This window comes from Homo sapiens, chromosome 2 (genome assembly GCF_000001405.40).
Source record: "Homo sapiens chromosome 2, GRCh38.p14 Primary Assembly".
NCBI lineage: Eukaryota > Metazoa > Chordata > Mammalia > Primates > Hominidae > Homo > Homo sapiens.
The window spans coordinates 171,265,491-171,290,889 of record NC_000002.12 but is presented as its reverse complement, the minus strand read 5'-3'; the positions used below and the strand labels follow the sequence as shown (position 1 = coordinate 171,290,889).

Here is a 25,399-nt window from a genome sequence, read left to right as displayed (position 1 = left end):
AGACCAGCTTGGGCAACATAGAAAGACCCCTACTGATCTCTTTGGGACATTGTTTCCATAAACTTTTTGTAAAGCATCAATGATTTCACTATTTTTCTACACAAACCATAAATTTGATGTTGGTTTTTTTTTTGTTTTTTTTTTTTTAGACAGAGTCTTGCTCTGTCCCAAGCAGGAGCACAGTAGCGCTATCTCAGCACACTGTGACCTCCACCTCCTGGGTTCAAGCAATTCTCCTGCCTCAGCCTCCCGAGTACCTGGGATTACAGGTGTGTGCCACCATGTCCTACTAATTTTTGTATTTTTAGTAGAGACGGGGTTTCGCCATGTTGGCCAGGCTGGTCTGGATCTCCTGACCTCAGGTGATCCGCCCACCTCAGCCTCCCAAAGTGCTGGGTTTACATATGTGAGCCACTGTGCCCAGCCTTAACATTAGTTCTTGCTTCAATTTTATTAATAGCAGAATTCATGTTGCTCTGATGGGGGCTCTTCTCAGACTGATGTCTTATCCTTCTTAGTGCCCCAAACTAGATCCTGTTCAGACATGCCATAACAAATTAGTATGAGTTTATTTTAGTGCAAACATTTTGAATTCTCTGCATAGTTTTTTGATAATACACATTTTCCATGAATTTTTTTGAAGAGCTCCTCATACGTGTGTGTTTAACTTATTTCTATCTTCTCTTTCACATGATTCACTTTTTTTAAAAAAAATCTATTTAAGCAGCACTTACTGAAGGCCAACTCTGGGCCAGACACTGTGCTGAGATTTGGAGACACGGATGACCAGAACACGGTCACAGTCCTCTAGGGATGCTAGGCAGATGGAGCACATAAACTAATGATTACACCAATTAGTTGGCCAAGGATTTGAACCAGGATTCTAGTCAGCAGGACCAGAGGAAAGATACTACCCTTTTGACCTGTTACTGTCTCATTTTGTCTTTTATTGTATCTTCCTCCAGCTTTCCTTTTCTCTCAAAGACTTTCTTTTCTGGCTATCTCATGTTCCCCTTTTTCCCTACTTTTTAATTATTTATACAGCCAATTCCAGGTGACCTCTTTTGTGAATTTTATACAATTAATGCTTGGCCCCCCAACTGCTGGAATCTGGATTTAATCCTCCACCATCTGCCCCCCACTCCCCAGAATGATGAATGCTCAGGGAACAGGGATTAATTGTAACATTAGCCTAAGGAAAGCTGAACTAGGCAGTCATTAGTTCCTTACCACTCCCTATTTCCTTGCTTTCCACAAAATTTAGGATTTCTTCCCAACCCACATAGAAATGACTTTTTAAAAAAAATTTCTCAGTTCTCTGCTCCATCTCCATTGGCACAAACATTACAAATAGATGTCTTGTGACTTCTTTCCTGCTGTCCCTGGAATTGTGGAATGTTGTTTTGAAATTCTTCTTTGGATTTTTGTATCCAGAGTTATATCCCCAATTCTTAGCATACTGCCTGACACATAATAGGTTTTCAATAAATATATGTGAAAATAAATGCAAAGTGAAAAGAGAGAAAAATATTAGTAGATGATTTTTGCATGAACAATGTTGCTATGTTTTTATTTAGAAGTTTATGCATCCATTTGACCCCTAAATTATATCGTCCTCAAGAATAAGGGGACTAGTTTTTCTTCTTCTTTATATTCTCTCCTGCCCTGTGCCTAAAATAATACCTGATACGGCACAAAACCATAATCTATATTTGTTGAATGAAGAATAAGTAAAGACTAGACAGTTGATATCTGTGATTGATGTGGATGAGGATTTATATTATTAATGTTGTCTTAACTATTTTCTGGAACAAAGTGTAAATAACTTGGGTAAATAAACTATAAATGGGATTAGAAGAAGGTCTTGGAGAAGAAACGTCATGGGTGGCACTAATGCTGGGGGAGCCCCCGCTTACGATGGGTGTGCCTGCCGCTGTTTCACTCCCCTGGAGAGAGAACTCTGGAGATGGCTTTGCACATGGAATGGGGGTACAAGAGTGTGAACACGTGGCTGTGGGATTTTAACATAGTAATTGCCTTCCAAACACTTGAAAAAGACTTTTCTAATCCTATTCTATTGCTATTGCCTCTGTGTTTTCGCCTCATATCACATTTAAATTCTATGACTTGTCCAGTTAATGTGGACATGCATAACAAGTGGGCCCAGATCTTATTCTAAATGGAAGCCAGAGCCACTGTCCAGACACTAGGAAAGCATAATTACCCCAAGAGCAGAGTTGTGTTTTCTGAGAGGGCTTTGAGCAGTGTCTATGGAGCCCCAGATGTAAATTTCCGCATTAGACAAGTAAAAAGATTTATGAAACACGTTTCTCCTCTTTCTTGGAGAAAAAAAAAAAATCTTCTCTTTTGCGAAAAGACTTAGTGTTTGAGTACTTCTTGACCCTTAAGGGAAAGGAGGAAAATTATATCAGAAGTCTATGCATGCTAAAATAACATTCATTCAAAATGAGGAGTGATTGATTCTTTCCATATGTTCTTATCCTATTTCAATTTAAATTAATTTTGCAGGAGTCATTAACTATCTCCACAAAATTTGCTGGATTTTCTCCGAATGCTGGCTTTGGCACACCTGCAGCCAGTGCATGTCTTTATGGTTAATCTGTAGGAACCAAAATTAATTTCAGTAAAACAGCTAAATGGTCCTCAAGAGTCCTTACTCATGTGTCTGGTTAGCATTCACCAGGGGCAGTAAACACAGCCTGACAAGGGTGATAGAAATGTTTCAAGGGACCTTTCCAAGTTTTCTCACTATCTTTTTTTCTTTTTTAAATTTGCAGGTGCAAAAATTCCATTTATAATTCTTTAATTCCAAGGGCAATGGGTATCTTGGGGTCTCAGATTCAGGACAAGTGGCCAGCTGGGACACAATATTCTGCTTGCAAGTCATGGCAGGTGCAGAAGGAGGGCAAGCCATTAAAAGTTTGGCCTGTTCTCCTTTTCTCTCTTTTTGTGCTTCCTTTTCCTCTTCTAGACGGGTGTACAATTACACGAGCTGAATTAGTTATCTCCCAAAGCTGTGCTGTTGTACATCCAGGAAAAGGACTTGATTACTCAACCCATGGTTCCAGGAGCCTTATTTGGGTTCTTTTGTGCAGCAGAAGAAAAAAGTGCTGAGTGCACCCTCTATTTGTTTTGCGATTTGCCTGCTGGGCACATTACTTGCTATCACTCTGGTTTCAATAGATGTCTTTCCACGGAGATTTTAGGATGTCTATATTTAGAAAACAATAAAATATGTATAAGATGGAAAAATTAGGGGAAAGCAGAAGTGTGCTGAGGAGGAGAGAAAAGGGCAAGAGACAGTCATGGATCCTTCTCATGACAGGAGCTGCCCCTAGCATCCAGGCTTGACTTCTTTCTTGCCTTGCCAAGTGTTCCACTGTGCAATGTGGAGTTATTAAGTGTGGAGATGAGGGGAGGAACAAGAGACAAGGAAAACCTAGCTCCAGTACTCTGGTGTCTTTGGAGAGAGTTTTGCCAGGGCATGTACTGGACACAGTGTGAGAATCCAGGAAGGCAGAGACATGTCAGCTGTGAGAAGCATATCCATGCAGTTATTATGGCCACATGTAATCTTTGCTGGGCTTTGTCAGCATATGAGCTGCTGATGAGGATGACTTCTTTCCCAACCAGGAATGGTTTGTATGGCTTTTCTGCAAGCTATTGCTGGGAGTTTAGGTTTGGGGATTCCTGAGGTGGGTGTAACTAGAAAAGGCTCTGGTTTATCTTCACTCAGACTTTGATGATTTGAAAAGATTAACAGGCAAAATACTCAAAGATTAAAAACAAACAAATGGAAAAAGAAAGGAAGGATGGAGAACTTGAAAGCAAGGAAGAAATGACTTTTAGATGGTCTAGTCTCTTGTCCTGTGTAGCTATAATGACTTCATTGCACATGATCTCAGATAGTAGGTTAATTTGGTTCTGGGCCTGGTATATGTTTGTTCAATTTTATGTGGTCTCCTTAATGCTGTATGGAATATTGTAAATTTGTAGTTATTTATTTATGTATATATTTACTTACTTATTTAACTGTACACCTAGCATAGAGACACAACTAGTTGGGTACTTAACAAATAGATATATGAGTTGCCATAGCTACAAACTACTACTAACAGTAGGATGTTCATAGCCATTTTCTTTTTCTTTTTTTTTTTTTTTTTTGAGATGGAGTTTTGCTCTTGTTGCCCAGGCTGGAGTGCAATGGTGCGATCTCAGCTCACTGCAACCTCCACCTCCTAGGTGATTCTCCTGCCTCAGCCTCCTGAAGAGCTGAGATTACAGGCGCCTGCCACCAAGCCCAGCTAATTTTTATATTTTTAGTAGAGATGGAGTTTCACCATGTTGGCCAGGCTGGTCTTGAACTCCTGACATCAGGTGATCCACCCGCCTCAGCCTCCCAGAGTGTTGGGATTACAGGCATGAGCCACCACGCCCGGCCCCCATTTTTTTGATATTAAAAATGCAATGAAAAAAACAGAAGAAAGGGTTTATTTGGCCAAAAAAACCATAATGACTTTAAGATGTATAATTTAACACCAATTTCTTCCTTAAAAAGTTAAAGGCCTGTGATCATTTTAAGTGATATGATTAGGAGAAATAAAATTGTGTGATGAAGTAGCCACTATCAGGTTTCAGCTGCCTGGTTAGACTTCACCACAGGACTAGCCCTGTCTCAAAACATCAGATTCTGGTGTTGTGAATAAGAAAGTATCCCCCAGTAGTCCATCCTTCTATCAGGGGAAATAACTTTCCTCCAGCATTGAATCACTTTTCTAGGTAGAAAGTTTTGGATATAACTCCTTCTGAAATGTTCCTCCCCAGGCCAGACCCCTGAACTTTCCTGAGGAAAGGAAGTGGCCCACAACCTATCTCTGCCTCATGGTCTCCCTGCAGACTAGAAAAAAGAAAATAATACTATCAGAAAACTTGAGTTCCACTCCTGGCCCAGCCACTCTTGTGCAATGTAGAAAAATTAACTTCATTTCCCTGGACCTCAGGTCCTCATGGATGTAAAGAAGTGTGCTACTTGCTCTGATACTTCAAAAGACAGTTTACAGAGTAGCAAATAACGTCATGAAAAGAATGACGGCTTTGGAGTCAGCCAGATCTGGTTCATTCTTCAACAAATCTTTATTTAGCATCTACTATATGCCAGGCGCTATTCTTGGTGCCAGATGCTGCCTACATGAAGCTCACATTTTAATGTGGGGACCAATACTAGTTTGTGGCCTTGGGCAAATCATTTAGCCCCTCTAAGCTTGTTTTTTCCACCTGTAAAATGGACATTATAATAACATTTCAAGATGCATTGTCAGGATTAGATACAATGATATTTAAAGCACCTATTATACACTAGAGGCTCAATGAATGGTATGTAAATAATACTATACGATACATGATAAAACACTTTTTTCAATTGTACGATTCTATCCAGATAGGCAAATTATTATTTTTTCATCTCTGTACTGTGTGACTCTAAAGCCATAGATAATCACAAAATTACACTGCAGATTTAATAAATTTACTTCTCTTTACTGCCTTAAAAGCAACTTCATTTATCAAAGAAATATTTTTTGAGTCTCTACTATGCATTAAATACTAGGCTGGCACTAGGGATATGGAAATAAATGAGACTTCCCTGCCCTTACTTAGGATCATAGCAGTAAATGTTTGGATTTCACCAGGGTCCTCACTTTTGGAGAGCTTATTCTTCTAGAGTTTGTATTAGTTATTGACTGTTTAGAAAGAAATCAAGAAAGGAAAACAACCCTCTAATTGGCAAGTGGGTTAAGCTAAAGTTTTCTTAGAGAGACCTAAAGCTGTGTATATAAGACCCCTGGCAATCTCACTCTACTCAAAATGAAACAGATAGGAGAACACATCTTTCCTATAGATGCCTTAGAGGTAAAATTTCAATCTACCAACATCTTTTGCAACAAAAGAAAATCAATTAAGTTATTTACTATACCCAGCCATGTGACCAGTGTTGTTACACATATTTCAGAGATATAAATGAAAATAAGGAGATATTCCTGGAGCTCAGCAGGAGACATGACACCTGCCCTTGAGGCAGGAGGTAGAATGTGTTCATTTATTTACTTATTTATTTAGTCACGAAAAATCTGTTTAGTAACCATGGCCTTTGAGGAATCACACTGAGTGCTGGGAATACTAAGTGGGAGAACCAATAAAGTGGAAGAACAGTTATTGAGCACCTATTGTGCACCAGGCACTGTCCATCATTTTACCTCCATCATCTCAATGCATTTCCATCAATCCTAAAAGAATTTTTTTCTAAAAAGGGTTGTATGCTTTGACCTCAAGGTGTTCATTGGGGTGTGAGAGGACAGAAAGCATCAATCCACAGCGAAAAGGAATGCCATGGAGGAAAATGCCCAGAGCCAGTGAGCTCAGTAGAGGAGAGAATGGTTCACTGTCCCCAGAGGGTAGGGGCAGGCTTTGAAGAGGTTGTGGCATTCTAGTTTTTAAGCAGGAGCAACACAGGTGAAAGAGATCACTACTAGATAGGCAGGGATACAGATGACAGAGAGATAGGAATTGACAGCACAGACCATTCATGCTATAGGAGCTGGCCAAACCCCAAGGCTCTCAGAGCACCAGGTTACCAGTTGCTTCCCAAGCATTCACCCAGAGTAGTTGCTCATCTGAGAAGCTCTGTTTCCCTGAAATAATGACACTGGGATTCAGATTTCTAGCCCAATTCATGGTGCACTTGGGGCCTCACTTATAACCCATTCTTGGTTTTATGAAGCAAACAGTTTCCTTCTGCTCTGTGCTCTGTTTTAGAGTCAGGAGCTGATCTTTGCACTGATGCCATGCTAGATCTTTATTTGTTTTGTGCTGATGAGATTTAGGAGTGAGAAGTGGAAAATAAACTGATCCTCTCTATCTCCCACTACTGGGTTTTGATAGATAAAGTGGTCCTCTTGAAGTTTTTCTTCTTTCATTTGGAAAGTGTCATAAGATGTAGGTTAAGCTGGGTGCGGTGGCTCACGCCTGTAATCCCAGCACTTTGGAAGGTGGAGGTGGGCAGATCACGAGGTCAAGAGATCCAGACCATCCTGGCCAACTTGGTGAAACCCCGTCTCTACTAAAAATACAAAAATCAGCTGGGCATGGTGGCAGGCGCCTGTAATCCCAGCTACTCAGGTGGCTGAGGCAGGAGAATCTCTGGAACCTGGGAGGTGGAGGTTGCAGTGAGCTGAGATCACTCCACTGTACTCCAGCCTGGTGACAGAGCAAGACTCCATCTCAAAAAGAAAAAAAAAAGATATAGGTTAAGCAGTAAAGTGTGGTGCCAGGCTGGGAGTGGTGGCTCAGGCTTGTAATCCCAGCACTTTGTGAAGCCAAGGCGGGGTGGATCACCTGAGGTCAGGAGTTTGAGACCATCCTGGCCAACATGGTGAAACCCCATCTATACTAAAAATACAAACATTAGCAGGGCATGATGTCGCCTGGTGGTAGTCCCAGCTACCCAGGAGGCTGAGGCAGGAGAATCGCTTAACCACGGGAGGCAGAGGTTGCAGTGAGCCAAGATCGTGCCACTGTACTCCAGCCTGGGCGACAGAGTGAGACTCCATCTCAAAAAAAAAAAAAAAAAGTGTGGCACCAGATAGACATAAGTTCAAATCCCAGATCTACTTCTTATTAGTTGTGTGATCTTGAGCATTGACTTTTCACCCAAATTTGGACCCAAATTCTGAGAGGTGAGATACAACTATAAATTTGGAGTGCACCAAGGAAAAATTTAGAGAGCTCTTCTTTACTCCTCTGTTATTGGAATAAACAGGTATAACTCAGTGATCACATCTAGAGCATCAAGGCCATAGAGAAAGAAAAAAGCAACCACAGGCTGGCTCTCTAACTAGTTTACTCTTCATTGCCTAATTCAGCAAGCTAAATACCTGATCCAAAAGGAAATTATTAAGAGTTTTTTGCAATAAATACTGTATATAGGCTCCACTTTATCTTGGAGGTCTGTGATTATGTTTAGAAAACAGCTTTTATTGAAAAGCTAAACTTATGAATAGGTAGGAGGCTAGAACTTTCGACCTACAATAATAATAATAGCAATCATAATAACTTTGGGAGGCGTTTACTATAAGCCAGGCACTATTTTAAGCACTTTATTATGAATTGATTCATTTAATCTTATAGTCATCCTATGAAATAGGTACTATCATTATCTCTATTTTAAGATAAGGAAATTAGGCCAGGTACAATGGCTCATGTCTGTATTCCCAACATTTTGGGAAGCCAAAGTGGAAAGATCCCTTGAGGCCAGGAGATTGAGACCAGCCTGGGCAAAAATGTGAGAACCTGTCTCTGCAAAAAATTTAAAGAATTAGCCAGGCATGGTGGCCTGTGCCTATAGTCCCAGCTGCTTGGGAGGCTGAGGCAGAAGGACTGCTTGAGCCTGGGAGGTCAAGGCTTACAGTGAGCCATGATAATGCCACTGCACTGTAGCCTATGCAACAGAGCAAGACTCTGTCTCAAAAAAAGAAAAAGAAAAAGAAAAAGGAAATTGAGCCACAGAGAGGGACAGTGGCTTGCTGACTTGTCGGAGCCAGGATTTTTACCTACGCTGTCTGCTTTAGAGCCTGTCATGAACCTCTCTCCAGTTCTATAAGCCAACTTCTTTTAAAATAATTATAATAATAACATTTTGTGTTCCAATTATAAAACTAAGTCATGGTAGGAATTTTTGAAATTAGAGAAAGGGGTAAAGAAACTGAAATTATTTATATTTTTATTACCCAGGGATAACATTTATTAACATTTGGGTCTATTTCCTTTTGGAAATTAAATTGCATATATAATTCTCTTTTCAAATAGCATAACACCACATATGACTTTTTAAATTTAATGTTACAATTTGAGCATTTTCTCATGTTATTAAATATTCTTATAAACCATAGATTTTAATGGCTGCAAATATTCCAATTATCTGGCGGTCCCATAATTTACTTTAAAAATCACATGATATTGGGCCATTAGCTTGTTTCCAATGTTCTTGAGAAACGTTTGTTGTACTTCTGTGTTGGTTTCTGGAGGATGCCTTAGCCTGGTACTTTCAAGAGGTACACAGGCTGTTTGAAGAGTGGCTAATTTTCTACTGAAGGGACTGTGCCCGAATCCCTGTCCCCCAAGTAAGAACACCCTAAGCCACTGAAGACAGGTGAGAATTTTGAAAAGTCTCTTGAGTATCTGAATTCTCAGTGAGGGTCCAGAATCTTATTCAATTTTTTAAAAACTCGTATTATTTCCCCCTAGTTTAGTAAGTAAAACATGTATCTTGTGTTAAAAAAAAAAAAAAAGTAGAACATGAAAATGAACAAACAAAAAAAATGAAATCAATCTAAAATCACACCACAGCACAGCTTGTCAAGTATTTATCTTTGCACACTACACACTATCTTGTTACCTGTTGTTTTACTCAACGACATAATATGCGCATTTTCCTATTAATAAATGTAGGTCATCATACCAGATGGTAGCTGATCTCTGCCCAGCTGCTCTCCCACCCTCAGGCCTGATCCCTACAGGCAATTGCTTTTCACTGATTTATGTTTGCATGAATATAAAGCATGGTTCCTCCTTCTCCATTGTGCCACACCTACCAGAGACTAGTTCTTGTACTTTCCAAACCCAAAGCAGCTGCCCTGCCATCAAGGCGTTGGCCTTCTACTGGAGAAGTATATTACTGAAAAAAATAAATAAATAAAATAAATCTATTAAAAAGTGACCCAAAGTGGTGTTTTTAATAAGGAGGAGTAAGGAAATGTGGGAATAAGGAAATATCCAGACGATTTTACAAACCCAAACCCGTTATCCTATTTATGACACAACCTATGGTGTTGAGTTTTTCTTGTGTTTCTCTACCTCGAGCTGGTAGAGAAAGGGCCTATCGAGTTAGCTATGTGCATCTATGATCCCCCGGTTAAATTTCTGCCTCTGACTTTTAAGGAGACGCTTTTACCTCATCTTCTTCCTAATTTTCCCAAAAAAGGAGAGTTCTATCCAAGTTGTGTCAGAAGCTAAGTCTAAACTTATTTTAAATGACTATTTTTGAAATTAGTAAAGACAGGACTCTGACCCCCGCCAGTCTGCCCAGACAGGCTTTTTTTGTTTTTGTTTTTGTTTTTGAGATGGAGTCTCACCCTGTTGTCCAGGCTGGAGTGCAGTGGCGCCATCATGGCTCACTGCAGCCTTGACCTCCCTGGGCTCAGGTGTCCTTTCATCTCAGCCTGCTGAGTAGCTGGGACTATGGGCACGCGCCAGCACACCTGGCTGATTGTTTGCATTTTTCGTACAGACAGGGTTTCACCATGTTTCCCAGTCTGGTCTCAAACTCCTGGGCTCAAGCCATCAGCCCGCCTCGGCCTCCCAATGTGCTAACATTACAGGCGTGAGCCACCACACTCAATCCAGACAGACTAAAGGGATCTTTATACTATAAAGTGATCTTATACCCGGAGGAATTGTGAGCTTAGATATTACTATACTAAGACCACAAGTGGTAAAAATCAGATAAAGCAGTAATCATCTTACTTTGTGATCAAATTAATGCAGAAAAAGTAAGAAATGGTTTGACCTTGTAAGCTCTCTGAGGAAATAAGCAGTTTCAGTTAACACTGCTGTCGCAATCCCTATCTCACAGCTTCAGCTTAATCCCGTAGCAACACTCAGAACTCATTTTTATTATAATTACAGTTGACCCTCGAACAATGCAAGGGTTAGGGGCACTGCCCTCCCCCTTCGTCTTGTACAGTAGAAAATTCTCCTATAGCTTTTGACTTCTCCCAAGCTTAACTAACTTAACTACTAATAGCCTCTATTGACCAGAAGCCTCACTGATAACCTAAACAATTGATTAACACGTATTTTATATATGTATTATACCCTGTATTCCTACAATACAGTAAGTAAGAGAAAAGACAATGTTAAGAAAATCATAAAGAAGAGAACATACATTGTCAGTTCTGTGCTGTATTTATCCATACCGGAAGTTCACGCCATCCATTTACAAGATATATCATCTGTCTGAAATGGTGGCAACTGCAGTGTCTGACTGCAAATTGTGGTATGTATCAAGCCATTCAACTTTTTCTTTTAATGTCATGACTTTTCTCTGCTTCTTGGGAGCACTTCCAGCATCACTAGTGGCACTTTGTGTGGGTCCCATGATGTTATTCAAGGTTCATGGTATTGTACTAAACATGAAAAATACGCAAGAACCAGGGGAGATCACTTTTTACTGCAATATGCAATTTACTGAAGGGACAACTGCTCATAAGGAGATTAGGGTCGCATGGTGTTTTAAGCAGATAATCCCAATACTTGAGCTCACAATAGCAACAGGAGGTGGCAATGAAATATTACAGTAGCACAGTATGTACTGCTGTTAATTTTATGCAGCTATGATTTAATACTGCATTCTTATATTTGTTTACATTTTTCTCGACTTCAAATGGCACCACATATGGTCTGTGTTTGTGTGCATATAAATTGTAACTTTTTATAATAGATTTGTTTTTTTTATGGTAGTAAATGATAAAGGCTTAGTATCTTCATATATTTTATGCATTCATGATATACCTTTTTCTTAATTGTTTTAATATTTCTAGATATGCATGCAGTTCATCTGTTTTTTCAAATTGTCTCAAATCTCCAAAAATGTTTTCAATACATTTATTTTTAGAAATCTGTGTATGTGGAGTCACACAGTCTAAACTCGTGTTTTTCAAGGGTCAACTGTACTTATTATAGTCCCACAATATCTTATTATTTTTGCTTTAAATGGTCAATTATACTTTAAAGAGGTTTTTCTAAATAACAAAAGAGTCTTTTATTACTACTCAAATAGGTGCCACTTCTGATTCTCTTCTTTCCTTTGTATAAATCTAGATTTCCGTCTGATATCATTTTCCTTCTGCCTCAAGGACTTCCTTTAACATTTCTTATAGTACAGATTTGCTAGTGAAAAGCTTTTAGCTTTCATATGTCTGAAGATGTCTTTATGAGGTTTTCACTGGGTATAAAATTCTACGTTGACAATTTTTTTTTCCGTCAGTACTTTAAAGATGTTGCTTCACTTTCTTCTGGTTTGCATTGTTTCTGACAAGAAGTCTACCTTTCTACTTTCATTCTTATCTTGTTTATTCCGTACATTATAAACCTTTTTTTTTTTCTTCTGGCTGCTTTTAAGGTTTTTCTCTTTATCTCTGGCTTTGGACAATTTATCATGTGCCATGGTATAGTTTTCTTCTTGTGTCTTGTGCTTAGGTTTGTTGAGCTTCTTGGATCTCTGGGTTTAGAGTTTTCATCAAAATTGGACAATTTTCAGCCATTATTTCTTCAAAAAAATTTTGTTCTCCTATCTCTTTCCTGTCTGTTATGGATTGAATTCATACATTGAAACTAACCCCCTTCAATCTGCATTTGAAGATGGGGCCTTTAAAGGGGTAATTAAAGTTAAAGTTATAAGGGTGGGACCCTAATCAAATATGACTGGTGTCCATATAAGAAGAGGTAGAGACAACAGGGAGGCACACACAAAGAAAAGGCCATGAAAGGAGACAGCAAGAAGGTGGCTGTCCACCAGCCAAAGAGAGAGGCCTCGGGAGAAACAGAACCTGTCAGCACTTTGATCTTAGACTTCCAGCCTCCAGAAACATGAGCTTAAATTTTTATTTAAGCTACCCAGTCTGTGGTATTTTGTTATGGTAGCCCTAGCAAATTAGTATACTCTGTCTTGGGACTTCAATTACATATATATTAGGCTACTTAAACTTATTCCACTGCTTATTGAAACTGTTTTTTTTTTTAGACTTTTTTTCTCCCTCTGTTTCATTGAGAACTTTCTTTCTTTTTTTTTTAGTTTCCTTCAAGAAAAGATTTATTGCATATTATTAGTGATTATGTTTTACAGCAAAATTAAATATATATGCGTTTCACAAACACAAAATGGGAATCAAGGCATCTATCAAATTTAAATGTTGAACCAAGTCTTAGTTTTCAGAATTCAGTAGCCAGTCATGGTTCTGCACCAGGGCCACCAGTCCATGATTTCCAGTTGTTGAGGATCTTTTCAGTAATTGGAACAAAATCTTCCTTATCTGTGACAATTGTTTCCACATAAAACCCTTTTGGGGGTTCAGATAGTTCACTGGGTACTTCACTTGTTGAGCCATCCTTTTGCTGTACTTCATCACCTGACAACTTCGCCATTTTCTGGCCAAAGTAAACCATTGAGCCCACCAGAGACCGGGTGCCAATCCCATAGATCACCAACTGATCCCATAGACCACCAACATCCACTGGTACCGGGCCGTGAACTGGTTTTGATACATGGGTACACTGGCGAGGGCCTCGATTCTCACAGGCCCACGGTGGAGGCAGCTCCTTGTGAACTTTCTATTGCTGTGTCTTCAAAATCCATAATTTTTTCTTCTGCATTGTTTAATCTACCATTATTTCCATGCAATGGCACTTACATTCCCATCCAATGGCACAATACATCCAGTGTATTTTCATCTCAGATGTATTTTTATCTCTAGAAGTTTGGTTTGGGTATCTAAAGTTTTTTTAAAATGTTTGTGGGTACATAGTAGGTATATATATATTTATGGGATACATGAGATATTTTAGTACAGACAGGCAATGCATAATACTCACAGCAGGGTAAATGGGGTATTTATGACCTAAAGCATTTATCCTTTGTGTTACAAACAATTCAATTATATTCTTTTAGTTATTTTTAAATGTACAATAAATTATTGTTGACTGTAGTCACCCTGTTGTGCTATCAAATACTAGATCTTATTCATTCTAACTATATTTTTGTACCCATTAACCATGCCCACACTCCACCCCGCCTCTGACTACCATTCCAGCCTCTGTTAACCAACCTTCTATTCTCTATCTCAATGAGTTCAATTGTTTTAATTTTTAGTTTCCACAAATCAGTGAGATTATGTGAAGTTTGTCTTTCTGTGCCTGGATTATTTCACTTAACATAATGATCTCCAGTTCCATCCATGTTTTTGCAAATGACAGGATCTTATTCTTTATTCATGGCTGTATAATACTTCATCATGTATATGTACCACATTTTCATTACCCATTTGTCTGTTAATGGACACTTAGGTTGCTTAGGGAATCTAAATTTTTTATTAATATATTTTATTTTTTAGAATAGTTCTAGTTTACAAAAAACTGAGAAGAGGCTGGGCGTGGTGGCTCAGCCTGTAATCCCAGCATTTTGGGGGGCTGAGGCGGGCGGATCACCTGAGGTCAGAAGTTCGAGGCCAGCCTGACCAACATGGAGAAACCCTGTCTCTACTAAAAATACAAAATTAGACAGGTGTGGTGGCACAGGCCTGTAATCCCAGCTACTCAAGAGGCTGAGGCAGGAGAATTGCTTGAACTCAGGAGGCCGAGATTGCGGTGAGCTGAGATCACGCCATTGCACGCCAGCCTGTTCAACAAGAGCGAAACTCCATCTCAAAAAAAAAAAAAAAAAACTGAGAAGATAGTTGTTGTGAACTGACTCATGTCCTCTCAAAATTTATATGTTGAGGCCCTAGCTTCCAAAGTGACTGTATTTGGAGACAGGACTTTTAGGGAGGTAATTAAGGTTAAATGAGGTCAGAAGGGTGAGACCCTAATCCAATAAGACTGATGTCCTTATTTTAAAAAAGAGAAAAGACACCCCTCTGTCACTCTCCCTCTCTACAAGTGTAGGGAAGAGGCCATGTGATGACGCAGCAAGAGGTAGCTGCCTACAAGCCAGGAGGAGAGTCCTCAACAGAAACCAGCCCTGATAACTCCTTGATCTTGGACTTCTTGCCTCCAGAACTTAAAGAAAATAAATTTCTGTTGTTAAAGCCACCCAGACTGTGGTGGCTTTTACGGGCAGTCTGAGCTGATTAATGCAGTGCACAGGCTGGGCACAGTGGCTCACACCTGTAATCCCAGCACTTTGGGAGGCTGAGGTGGGAGGATCATTTGAGGCCAGGAGTTCGAGACCAGCCTGGGAAACATAGGGAGATCCCATCTCTGCAAAAAGTAAAAATAAATTAGCCGGGCATGATGGCACGTGCCTGTGGTCCCAACTACTCAGGAGGCTGAGGTGGGAGGATTGCTTGAGCTCAGGAGGTTGAGGCTGCTGTGAGCTGTGATCATGCCACTGCACTCTAGCTGGGTGACAGCAAGACCCTGTCTCAAAATAAATAAATACAGTGTACAAATATATCTGTTCAAACTATACTTTCAATTCTTTGAGGTATATACCAGAAGTAGAATTGCTAGTAGTTCTATGTTTAATTTTTGGAGTGACTGCCATACTGTTTTACATGTGATTAATTGTTAATAATAATAAAAACAAGGCAGCAGTATGTTGTTTAAAAAATCATAAAACTAGAATTTTAGCCATGCCTTTGCTACCAGCTCACTTCACTATGTGACCCTGACAAAATATTAAATCTCTTGGGGCCTCAGTGTCCTCATGTGATACAAGAGTTGTGCCGAATGATTTCATGGTCACGTCAGTGCCAGTGTTTCTTGATTCTATGATTCTAGGTGCTAGGACACCTGGGATCCCTAGTTGTGCATATTTGACAATACTACTACTTTTTAAGTTGCCTGCTATTAAGGGCTGAGACAGGGTAAGGTCCCTAGTGGGCTGAATTGAGTGTGTGGTGATCTCCAGAATGGCCAAAGGCAAAAGGCGCATCGAAGATTGGGACAATAAGGGTAATGTCAGTCATCAAAACTAAGGGTCAGGAGCAAGGGCTTTGTATAGGAGCCAGGGATCCCAGGAAGAGGTCAGGCTAGAGGTTGCCAAGCTAGACTGCAGAGCTGAGTGGTGACTGGCTTCCTTATGTTGGCCATAGGTGGTGCTGGACCCCAGAGTTCTGTTAGACTTCTCTGTGTCTCAGTCTCCCTTGCTGTAAAACAGTGCTATTAATTGCTATTTTTCTACCAGTTAGGCTAGAGATAAATGGAAATACAAACTTTGGAAAGAGCTAGACCTTAATTTTTTTTTTCTCAAATAAAAAACTAAATGTTAAATTTATTTAAGTTGGAGTAAAAATAAAAATTGGTGAATTTGAGTAAGAGTATATGGGAGTTCTTTGCACTATTCTTGCAGCTTTTCTGTAAGCTTAAAATTACATAATTGGATTCATGTGGACATAAAGATGGGACCAATAGACACTGGAGACTCCAAAAGGAGGAAAGGCGAGCAAGGCTGAAAACCTTCCTATTGGGGACTATGTTCACTATCTGGGTAATGGGACCAATAGAAAGAAGCCCAAACCCCAGCCCCATATGACATACTCTTGTAACAAATCTACACATGGACCCCCCTGAATCTAAAATAAAAATGAAAATGTAAAGATAAAATTACATCAAAACTTTAAGTTCCCAAGGAAAAGAGGAAAAACTTATTTAAGAAGGAGAGCGAGGCCAGGTGCAGTGGCTCACGCCTATCATCCCAACATTTTGAGAGGCCTAGGCAGGAGGCTCACTTGAGCCCAGGAGTTAAAGACCAGCCTGGGCAACGTAGTGAGACCTTGTCTTTACTAAAAAAAAAAAAAAAAATTTAGCTGGGCGTGGTGCCACACACCTGTAGTCCCAGTTACTCAGGAGCTGAGGCAGGAGGATAGCTTGAGCCCAGGAGTTCGAGGCTGCAGTGAGCGGTAATTGTGCAACTGCACTCTAGCCTGGGTGACAGAATGAGACCCTGTCTCAAAAAAATAAAAAAGAAAAGAAAAGAAATTTACCCACAGTTTCTTTAGAGTTGATTTTGGCCCAGCATGGTAGTGTGTGTCTATAGTCTCACCTACTCTGGAGGCTTAGGCAGGAGGATCATTTGAGCCCAGGAGTTTGAGGCTCCAGTGTACTATGGTCATAACTGTGAATAACCCCACTGCAGGCCAGCCTGGGCAACATAGGGAGATCCGTCTCTAAAAACAAACAAACAAAAAAAGGATTGATTTTGTATGCATAGATGAACTGCTTCCAAGGCAAAACATCCAAATCATATTAAAATGTCTTTTAACATTGACCCTGAAAGTACATCCAAATACCAATGTATTCGTATCAACAACTCTAATTTGTCATTAAAAATTCAAGCAGCAACACTTCCAGATTTATCAGCTGATGATAAACACTTTCATTGTACACTTAAATATTGTGAATTTTATTATGTCAATTGTAATCAATAATTTTTTTAAAAAGGAAAACTTTAAAAATAAGTCATTCCTTTTTATTGCCACACTATTTTTATCCCAGTGGATATCTGGTGTTAGGATCGCAGTAACTGCCATTGGTAATAAATAATAAACAGCATCAATTGATGAATGTTGAACATGGGACACTTGGAATGACCTAAATTCCCACCTTCTCTCTTTTGTCAGTATAAATTAAAAATAAGAGAGAGCAGGTGGTTAACATAATGGAATTTGCTTCACCAGGAGGCTGCTGTGGTGAATTATTTGATCTGAAATAAAAAGGTGATAACGATGGGGATCATTTGAGATCAGATGTATCAACTCTCCTTTTTATTCTAGAGCAAATATTAGAGGGTTGAATGATTCTCAAGCTGTAGATATTTCTCAGGTCTATTTTTAAGCTCAAACTGGCTCTTTCCCAGAAAGAAGAGAAACAAAAATCTACTGGCAGTAAAGCCTTTACCTTTTTTCATTGAATTTTCTGAGGGGATTTAAAAAAAAAATCTTCTAAAAATCCAGGACAGATGGAGCATTATGAAGAACACTGCAAAACAGAATACTTTCAGGGAGTACTTAGAAGAAAATAAAATGTTCAAAAAGACCTTGTCTTCAAAAAAAAAAAAAGAAAAAAATCGGTTGACTAAAGACAAAGTATCTGATGTAGTAAAACATTTGCCCCATCTAGGCGCGGTGGCTCACGCCTGTAATCCCAGCACTTTGGGAGGCCGAGGCAGGTGGATCACAAGGTCAGGAGATGGAGACCATCCTGGCTAACACGGTGCAACCCCGTCTCTACTAAAAAAAGTACAAAAAATTAGCCAGGCGTGGTGGCGGGCGCTTGTAGTTGCAGCTACTTGGGAGGCTGAGGCAAGAGAACGGCTTGAACCCGGGAGGTGGAGCTTGCAGTGAGCCGAGATTGCGCCATTGCACTCTAGCCTGGGAGACAGAGCGAGACTCTGTCTCAAAAAAAAAAAAAAAAAAAAAAAAAATTTGCCTTTCTTTGAAGGAACTGAAAACAATGAAACCCAGTCACATTAAATTGTTCTCAAAGTTGGTGTATCAGGCACCAGTCCAAAGGATTTCCACCCGAAAAGTTGGTAGAATTCTTTTTAGCAATAAGATAGTTGAATGATTTGGGTAATGTTGCAGAGAACTGGTAAAAATGTTGCTCATTAACATTCATTCTCTCTTTTTCCTAACTCTAAAACTATTCTTTAGCTATCAGAAAAGTTAAATTTAATACAGTGTAAACTCTCCAAGGGGAAAGGAATAGCAGAAAAATTCCAGATGTCTCAGCCCTGTTGTGTGCTCACAGAGGTTGCACAATTTCCACTTGTAGATGGGTGAAAAGGTGTTAGAATCAGTTACCTGGCTCTTTGTAACATGTAAAGAATGTGAGGTGGCCTATGCCAGCCTGGAGGGAGAGTGAGAAGGGCTCTGAATGTTGACATTACTTCCCAGTTCACCATGACTCATTCATCTGACTTGCTACCAAACCATTGGGAATGAGCCAGTATAAGGGAACATGTTACAGCAGCCAGTGAAATAGACCAAAAAACTGTCAGTCCCAGGAAAGTACTGGAGAGGAGAATTGCAAGTGTGGTGGCGAATCTTTGCCAAACAGATACAGTTGATTTTTTTTTTTTTCCTTAAAAAGTCACACTTGACAAATCCTTCCTGAGTTTCAAGGGGAAAAGACACATAAACTTCCGTTTTGCTATCAATAAAGGTAGCAGGATATAAAAGGCTTAAATACCATCTTAAGAATAAAACATAGAGGCAACATGGCAAGCTATAGCAAGAAAAGAAAAAATAAAATAAACGAAGAAAAAGAAGTGCAGTGAAAAACAACAAAAGAAAAATCTTCCTTGAAGGGAAACTGGGAGCACATTTCCTTGGCTGAAGATCCAGTGTGAATAAAAGGGGGAGAAAATAACATCTTGATAAGACCAAATGAAATGGCAAACCAACCTTTAGTATTAATGAGCTTGTCAAGAGATCTTTAGATGGGTGATTTGGAGTGCTGGCATTTTGACACCTGAGGCTGTTTACTAAGCTTAAAGGAATTGGCAAAAGTCTCAAAATGCTTTCAAAATCACTTCATTGTGATTCTCTTTAGATGAGCAAAATCAAATAGATGCCTATAGCTCATAGATGCCTATAGCTCATAGATGAGGGGGTATGAAAAAGCATGAATGTGTTGTTGTAACAAATCCAAAGTGTTTGTAAACCATTGTCTGTGTCTTTGAATGTTTGGAATTGCAGGATGATTGCAGAAAGGATGACCTACAAGTGGATGGTCAGATCTGGCTGCAAATGGATGTCTGAAAGAAAACGGGGATCCTAGGAAACCCATCACAGCCCTCTATGAGCTTCAGAAACCAGCAAGGTTAATTATGTCATTGCCTCTAAGTGAATGCAGGTGACATTGTTTTGATAATTTGATGAACATGCCTCCTCCAGGAACAGTGTGATCCAAGATGCCAGGTCCATTTCAGGGCCTGAATCAGATGTCCGGAATCTCAAAAAGACTGGGAATTAGAACTGGGTTCTCAAGGGGAAGGACTTCTTAAGGGAAATTTTTTTCTTGGCTAAAGAGACACTCAGGAGGAAATGTCTTTTCTTTTGCTGCCATTGAATGACTAGATCATCTATCTATCTCTCTCTCTGTCTATCTATCTATCTATCTATCTATCTATCTATCTATCTATCTATCTATTGTTATATTCAAAAAATATTTTCTCAGCATCTACTGTATGCCAGGGATTATGGTAGGTGCCGGGGATAAAATTAGTTAATAAGACCCGCACGGAGTTTACATTCTAATGAGAGAGTCCCAAATAAACAAGTACGCAGATAAATATTATACTTACAGATTCTGAAGAGTTCTGAAGAAAAAAAAGAGGGTGATGAAGAGTGAATAAAAAGGTGACTAAATTGAGTAAAGGTCCCTTTAGTCAGAGTGGTCAGGCCATGAGAGGCAAGTCTTGAGTGAGAAAAAGCTAGGCCTATGGATGAAAAGCAGTGACAAGGAAGGAAAGAGTATTTCAGTTAAAGGGAACAGCAAGTACAAACCTATGAAGTAGAAAAGAAGAGGCATGCTCTACAGTGGTTGAGTCAAGGGAAGAGTGATAGTAGATGAGGTTGCAGGGACAAGAAATTAAGATTTTATTCTGAGTGCATTGGGAAATCATTAGTGGCTTTTAAGGCAGAGAATAAGGTTAGTCATATTTTAGTAAGATCACTTTGGCTGTTACATGAAAAATGTATTGGAGGAGGACAAATACGGAAGCAGTAAGACCAGTTAGTTGGTACCAGGTGATAGTGACTTGTGCTGTTTATCCCATTAATACGGTTTGGATCTGTGTTCCCACCCAAATCTTGTGTTGAATTGTAATCCCCAGTGTCAGAGGTGGGGCCTTGTGGGAGGTGATTGGATCATGGGGGTGGTCTTTCATGAATGGGTTAGCACCATATCCTGGCGAGGCTCTCCTGACACTGAGTGAGTTCTCATGAGTTCTACTTGTTTAAAACTGTGTGGCACCTTACCCGCCCCTCCCACCCCACCCCCAGCACTTCATCCTGCTCTGGCCATGTGAAGCTCTTCACTCGCCTTTTGCCTTCTGCCATGACTGGAAGCTTTCCGAGCCCTCCCCTGAAGCAAATGTTGCCATGCTTCCTGTATAGCCTGTGGAACCATAAGCCAATCAAACCTGTTTTCTTTATAAATTACCCAGTCTCAGGTACAGGTATTTCTTTATAGTAGTGTGAGAACAGACTAATATACCCACCGAGAGGGAATCTCTACACCTCCTTCTCTTGACTCTGGGCATGCGTGTGGCTGCTTCTACCAATAGAGTAGCAGTGGAACCAACCCCGGGACATCCACATTTAGATCATAAAAGGACATGGGAAGCCTCTGTCTTGTCTGCTAGGACATTGCATGGTCTATCACATAAGAAGTCCATCTCAGGCTAGGCTCTGTGGCTTACACCTGTAATCCCAAACTTTGGGAGGCTGAAGTGGGCAGATCACTTGAGGCCAGGAGTTTTTTTTGTTTTTTTTTTTTTTTTTTGAGACAGAGTTTCACGCTTGTTGCCCAGGCTGGAATGCAATGGTATGGTCTCAGCTCACTGCAACCTCTGCCTCCCAGGTTCAAGTGATTATCTTGCCTCAGCCTCCTGAGTAGCTGGGATTATAGGCACACACCACCACACCGGGCTAATTTTTGTATTTTTAGTAGAGATGGGGTTTCACCATGTTGGCCAGGCTGGTCTTGAACTCCTGACCTCAGGTGATCCACCCACCTCGGCCTTCCAAGTGCTGGGATTACAGGCATGAGCCACCGCTCCCAGCCCGAGGTCGGGAGTTCTAGACCAGCCTGGCCAACATGGTGAAACTCTCTCTCAACTATAAACACAAAAATCAGCTGGACATGGTGGAACGTGCCTGTAATCCCAGCTACTGGGGAGGCTGAGGCAGGAGAATTGCTTGAACCCGCAAAGCAGAGGTTGCAGTGAGCCAAGATCTTGCCAATGTATTCAGCCTGAGGCAACAGAGCGATACTCCGTCTTAAAAAAAAAAAATAAGTCCACCTCAGCTGGGGACGGTGGCTCACACCTGTAGTCCCAGCTACTAGGAAGTCGGAGGAGGGAGGATCACTTGAGCCCAGGAGTTCAAAGCTGCAGGAGCCATAATCACACCTCTGCATTCCCATTCTAGCCTGGGCAACAGAGTGAGACCTCATATAAATAAAAATAAGGAAGCCCACCTATCCTGAGACTGCCCCGCTATGAAGGAATCCAAGTCACATGAAGTGTAAATGTTCCATTCAGCAGTCCCAGCTAAGGTCCCGGTCAGCAGCCAGCATTGACCACCAGATGTGTGAATGAAGAGGCCTTCAGATGATTGCAGCCCCTATTGTTAAGGCAACCCCAACCTCCGAGTCTTCCCAGCAGAGGATTCAGCTACTATGGAGTCAAGATAAGTCATTCCCACTGTACCCTGTCTGGGGTCCTGACACATGAAGATTGGAAGTGGTTTGTCACATAGCAATAGTAACTGAAACACTGGGAGAGGGACGTCTTTAAGAGGAGAAATTAAGTTCCCAATGAGATTTTAAAGATGTACTAATGAAACAATCAAGTAGAGATATCAAGTAGTTAGTTGGACATGTGAGCGTAAGCAGACTTCTTGGCTGGAGATATACTAATGGCAAACAGCATATGGATGTCATTTAATTTCCCAGGCCTGGGTGAGATCACCTACAGCAGGAGGTGGACAGAGAAGAGGAGCTGGTTCAAGACCTCATTCTGAGGAAGCCCAGTATTTAGAGGTAGGGAAGAGAAGGAAGAGCCAGAAAAGGGAATTGAGACAGAGTGCCCAGGGAGGCAAGAAAAAAAAAACACCCAAGAGAATGGTTTGTCACAAAAGCTGAGAGAGAACATTATTTCCAGAACAAAGAGAGCGGTCAACTTTGTGGGAAACTATTGAGAGTCAAAAAAGATAAGAGAAAAATGGTCATTAGATTTGGCAACAAAGAGATCACTTGAGACCTTGAAAAGAACAATTTCAGTGGGAGTGGATGGGGCAGACACATAATGGGGGTTTTGATCTCTCAGGGAAAGAAGAGCAGTCTATTATTTCAGAAAAAGTTGGATCAGCCATGCCATATGCAGCTAGCTTAAGTGCTACTGAAACGACACAATTTACCTGCTTAGACAAACAGCATAATGTAGCAAACAGCATAAATTTTTAGCATTAGACAGAACTGGGTTGAAATTCTACAGACAAATTACTTAAACTCATTATGGTTCAGTTTGTTTATCTGTAAACTGCAGAGGAAAAAACCACTTTTCTTCTATTCTCCTAGGTTCTACAGTTAGGAACCTAGAAATTGAACTGACAAAAGACAGGTTAACAAGAGAAAAACAGAGCTTATGAATGTGTGCAATGCACATGCATTTGGGAGAAACTCAGTGATGAGTGTAACTTGCAGGAGTAGTTGTTATGTAGCATCGTAACAAAGATGCTACATAAAAACTACTCAGTGATGAGTAGTTTGCAGGAGTAGTTGTTATGTAGCATCGTAACGAAGAATGGTGTATTTGTAGAGATGTGGCAAAACGAAGGAAAAGGGGTTTAAGCTTTTGGAGTGACAAATTGTGGGGAGGTAAATATGTGGAGAGAAACTAATGGAAAATAGGAGTTATTTTATTAGGGTTTACTATGTAGGTACCTTTTGGTGCTATCTCTGGGCTAGAGTTATCTCCTCGTCTCTAGTGATTATGAGTCTAAGAGTTTCCTCTTCCTGGTATGCGAGAGAGAGAGAGAGAGAGAGAGACGCCTTTGCAAATGTATTTTTTTTTATTAAAAAAATTGTTAATTGCAGAGATGGGTGTCTCGCTATATTGCCCAGACTGGTCTCAAACTCCTGGCCTCAAGTGAGTCTTCTGCTTCGGCCTCCCAAAATGCTGGGATTACAGGTGTGAGCCGCCAAACCTGGCACAAATGGAAATTTACGTCCTACTTTTAGGCAAGTAGGGAGGAGGGCAGAGATACTTCTTGGCATGTGCTGCTTCTCAACTGTTTTCAGCTCAAAATAATCCTTATGCAAAAGTTCATATTTTGGGGTGGCATATTCTAATCACCCCCCCAAAATAAGAATAATACTTTTTCATAGGGTTGTTGTAAGCATAACATGAGAGAACATTTTAGCATAGCAGTAAGCATATGTAAGTTGCTTAAGCTCATTCATTTAAAACATACTTATTAAGTGCCTACTGTGTACCAGGCCCTGTGCTGAGTGCCTGGCATACAAGGATGAAGTCTCAGTTCATGATCTGCAGAAATGTATAGACTAGTGAGGAGACAGACCTGCAAACAGTTGCATTACAGTAAGATTATTGCTTCAGTAGGATTGTGACAAAGGAGAAGAAAACCTGAATGAGTCTGAGGGGATCAAGAAAGGCTTCACAGAAGAAGCAGTATTTTATCTGTGACTTGAAGACACGGGGTGGATTTGCCAGGTGGACAAGCTGGGGAGGGTGTTCCAAGTAGAGAGAACATTGTATACAAAGCTTCAGGAATGGGACTGAGCATAGCATGCTCTGGAACCAGATAGCTGAGTGCTACTGGAGTAAAACTTGTGTGGAACAGGTGGAGGTGTGGTGGTAGGAAAATAGTGAGGGATGGGGCCAGACAGGTAAAAAGAAATCAGAGGATGGAGAGTCTCATTTGCCACGAAGAGGAGTTTAGATGTTATCTGAAGGGATCAGGAGCCACTGAAGTACTTGGTAATAAGGAAGTGAAAAAAACGTTCTTTTTGTTGTTTTTTAGAAATGAGGTCTCAGTCCGTCACCCAGACTGGAGGGCAGTAGTGCGATCATGGCTCAATGCAGCCTTGACCTCTTGGGTTCAAGGGGTCCTCTAGCCTCAGCCTCCCAAGTAGCTGGGATTACAGGCAGGAGCTGTGACCCTGACGACAAAATCATTCTTATGCGTGGAAGGTGAACTGAGAGTTTGCTTAGCTTTGTAAAATGCCCTAATCTTTGCACTTAAAAAATGGTGCCTCTGACCAATGCTCAGCAGTATATGTGCTATGATTTGTCTTTTCAATTGTTCCTCTGAACTATTCTTATTCTCTTGTAGGGAGATATTTGCAGACCAATTGAACAGAATAGAGAATCCAGAAAGAGACCATCTAGAGGAAAGACTAACTTAGCTTGCCATTCTTTCTTTAGAGAATGATACCGATGTCATGTAAAGCAATGATCAAAGAGTACATATCCAGCCTGGGCAACATAGTAAGACCGTGTCTCTACAAAAAATAAAAAATTAGCCGGGAGTGGTGACATGCACCTGTAGTCCTAACTACTCGAGAGGCTGAGGTGGAAGGATTGCTTGAGCCCAGGAGATTGAGGTGGCAGTGAGCTATAATCGCACCACTGCACTCCACTCTGTCTCAAAAAAGAAAAAAAAAAGGACATAGCAAAAACAAAAAAATATATATATGGAAAAAAGTATTAAAGACAGGTGATTAATCGTGATATGATGATATTATCTAGATTTTATCGTATTTGATACTTTATGATATTTTATGACAATTTTGATATTTA

At 40.4% G+C, this 25,399-nt stretch overlaps 1 long non-coding RNA gene and 1 pseudogene across 2 annotated transcripts in view; one reads left to right on the top strand and one right to left on the bottom strand.

The window, feature by feature from the left end:
• Nucleotides 1–25,264, top strand: part of LOC105373737 (uncharacterized) — a 35,515-nt gene extending 10,251 nt beyond the window's left edge. Inside the window, exons 2-4 of one of the 2 annotated variants that reach the window (XR_007087295.1) lie at nucleotides 19,548–19,671; nucleotides 22,118–22,617; nucleotides 23,674–23,709. This is a non-coding gene — a long non-coding RNA (uncharacterized LOC105373737). Of the gene's footprint in view, nucleotides 1–19,547; nucleotides 19,672–22,117 lie in introns of both variants that reach the window. The other variant, XR_923573.3, reaches the window with a different exon arrangement.
• LOC124906093 (small integral membrane protein 26-like) lies at nucleotides 13,081–13,397 on the bottom strand (annotated as a pseudogene).
• Nucleotides 25,265–25,399: the final 135 nt, after the last annotated feature.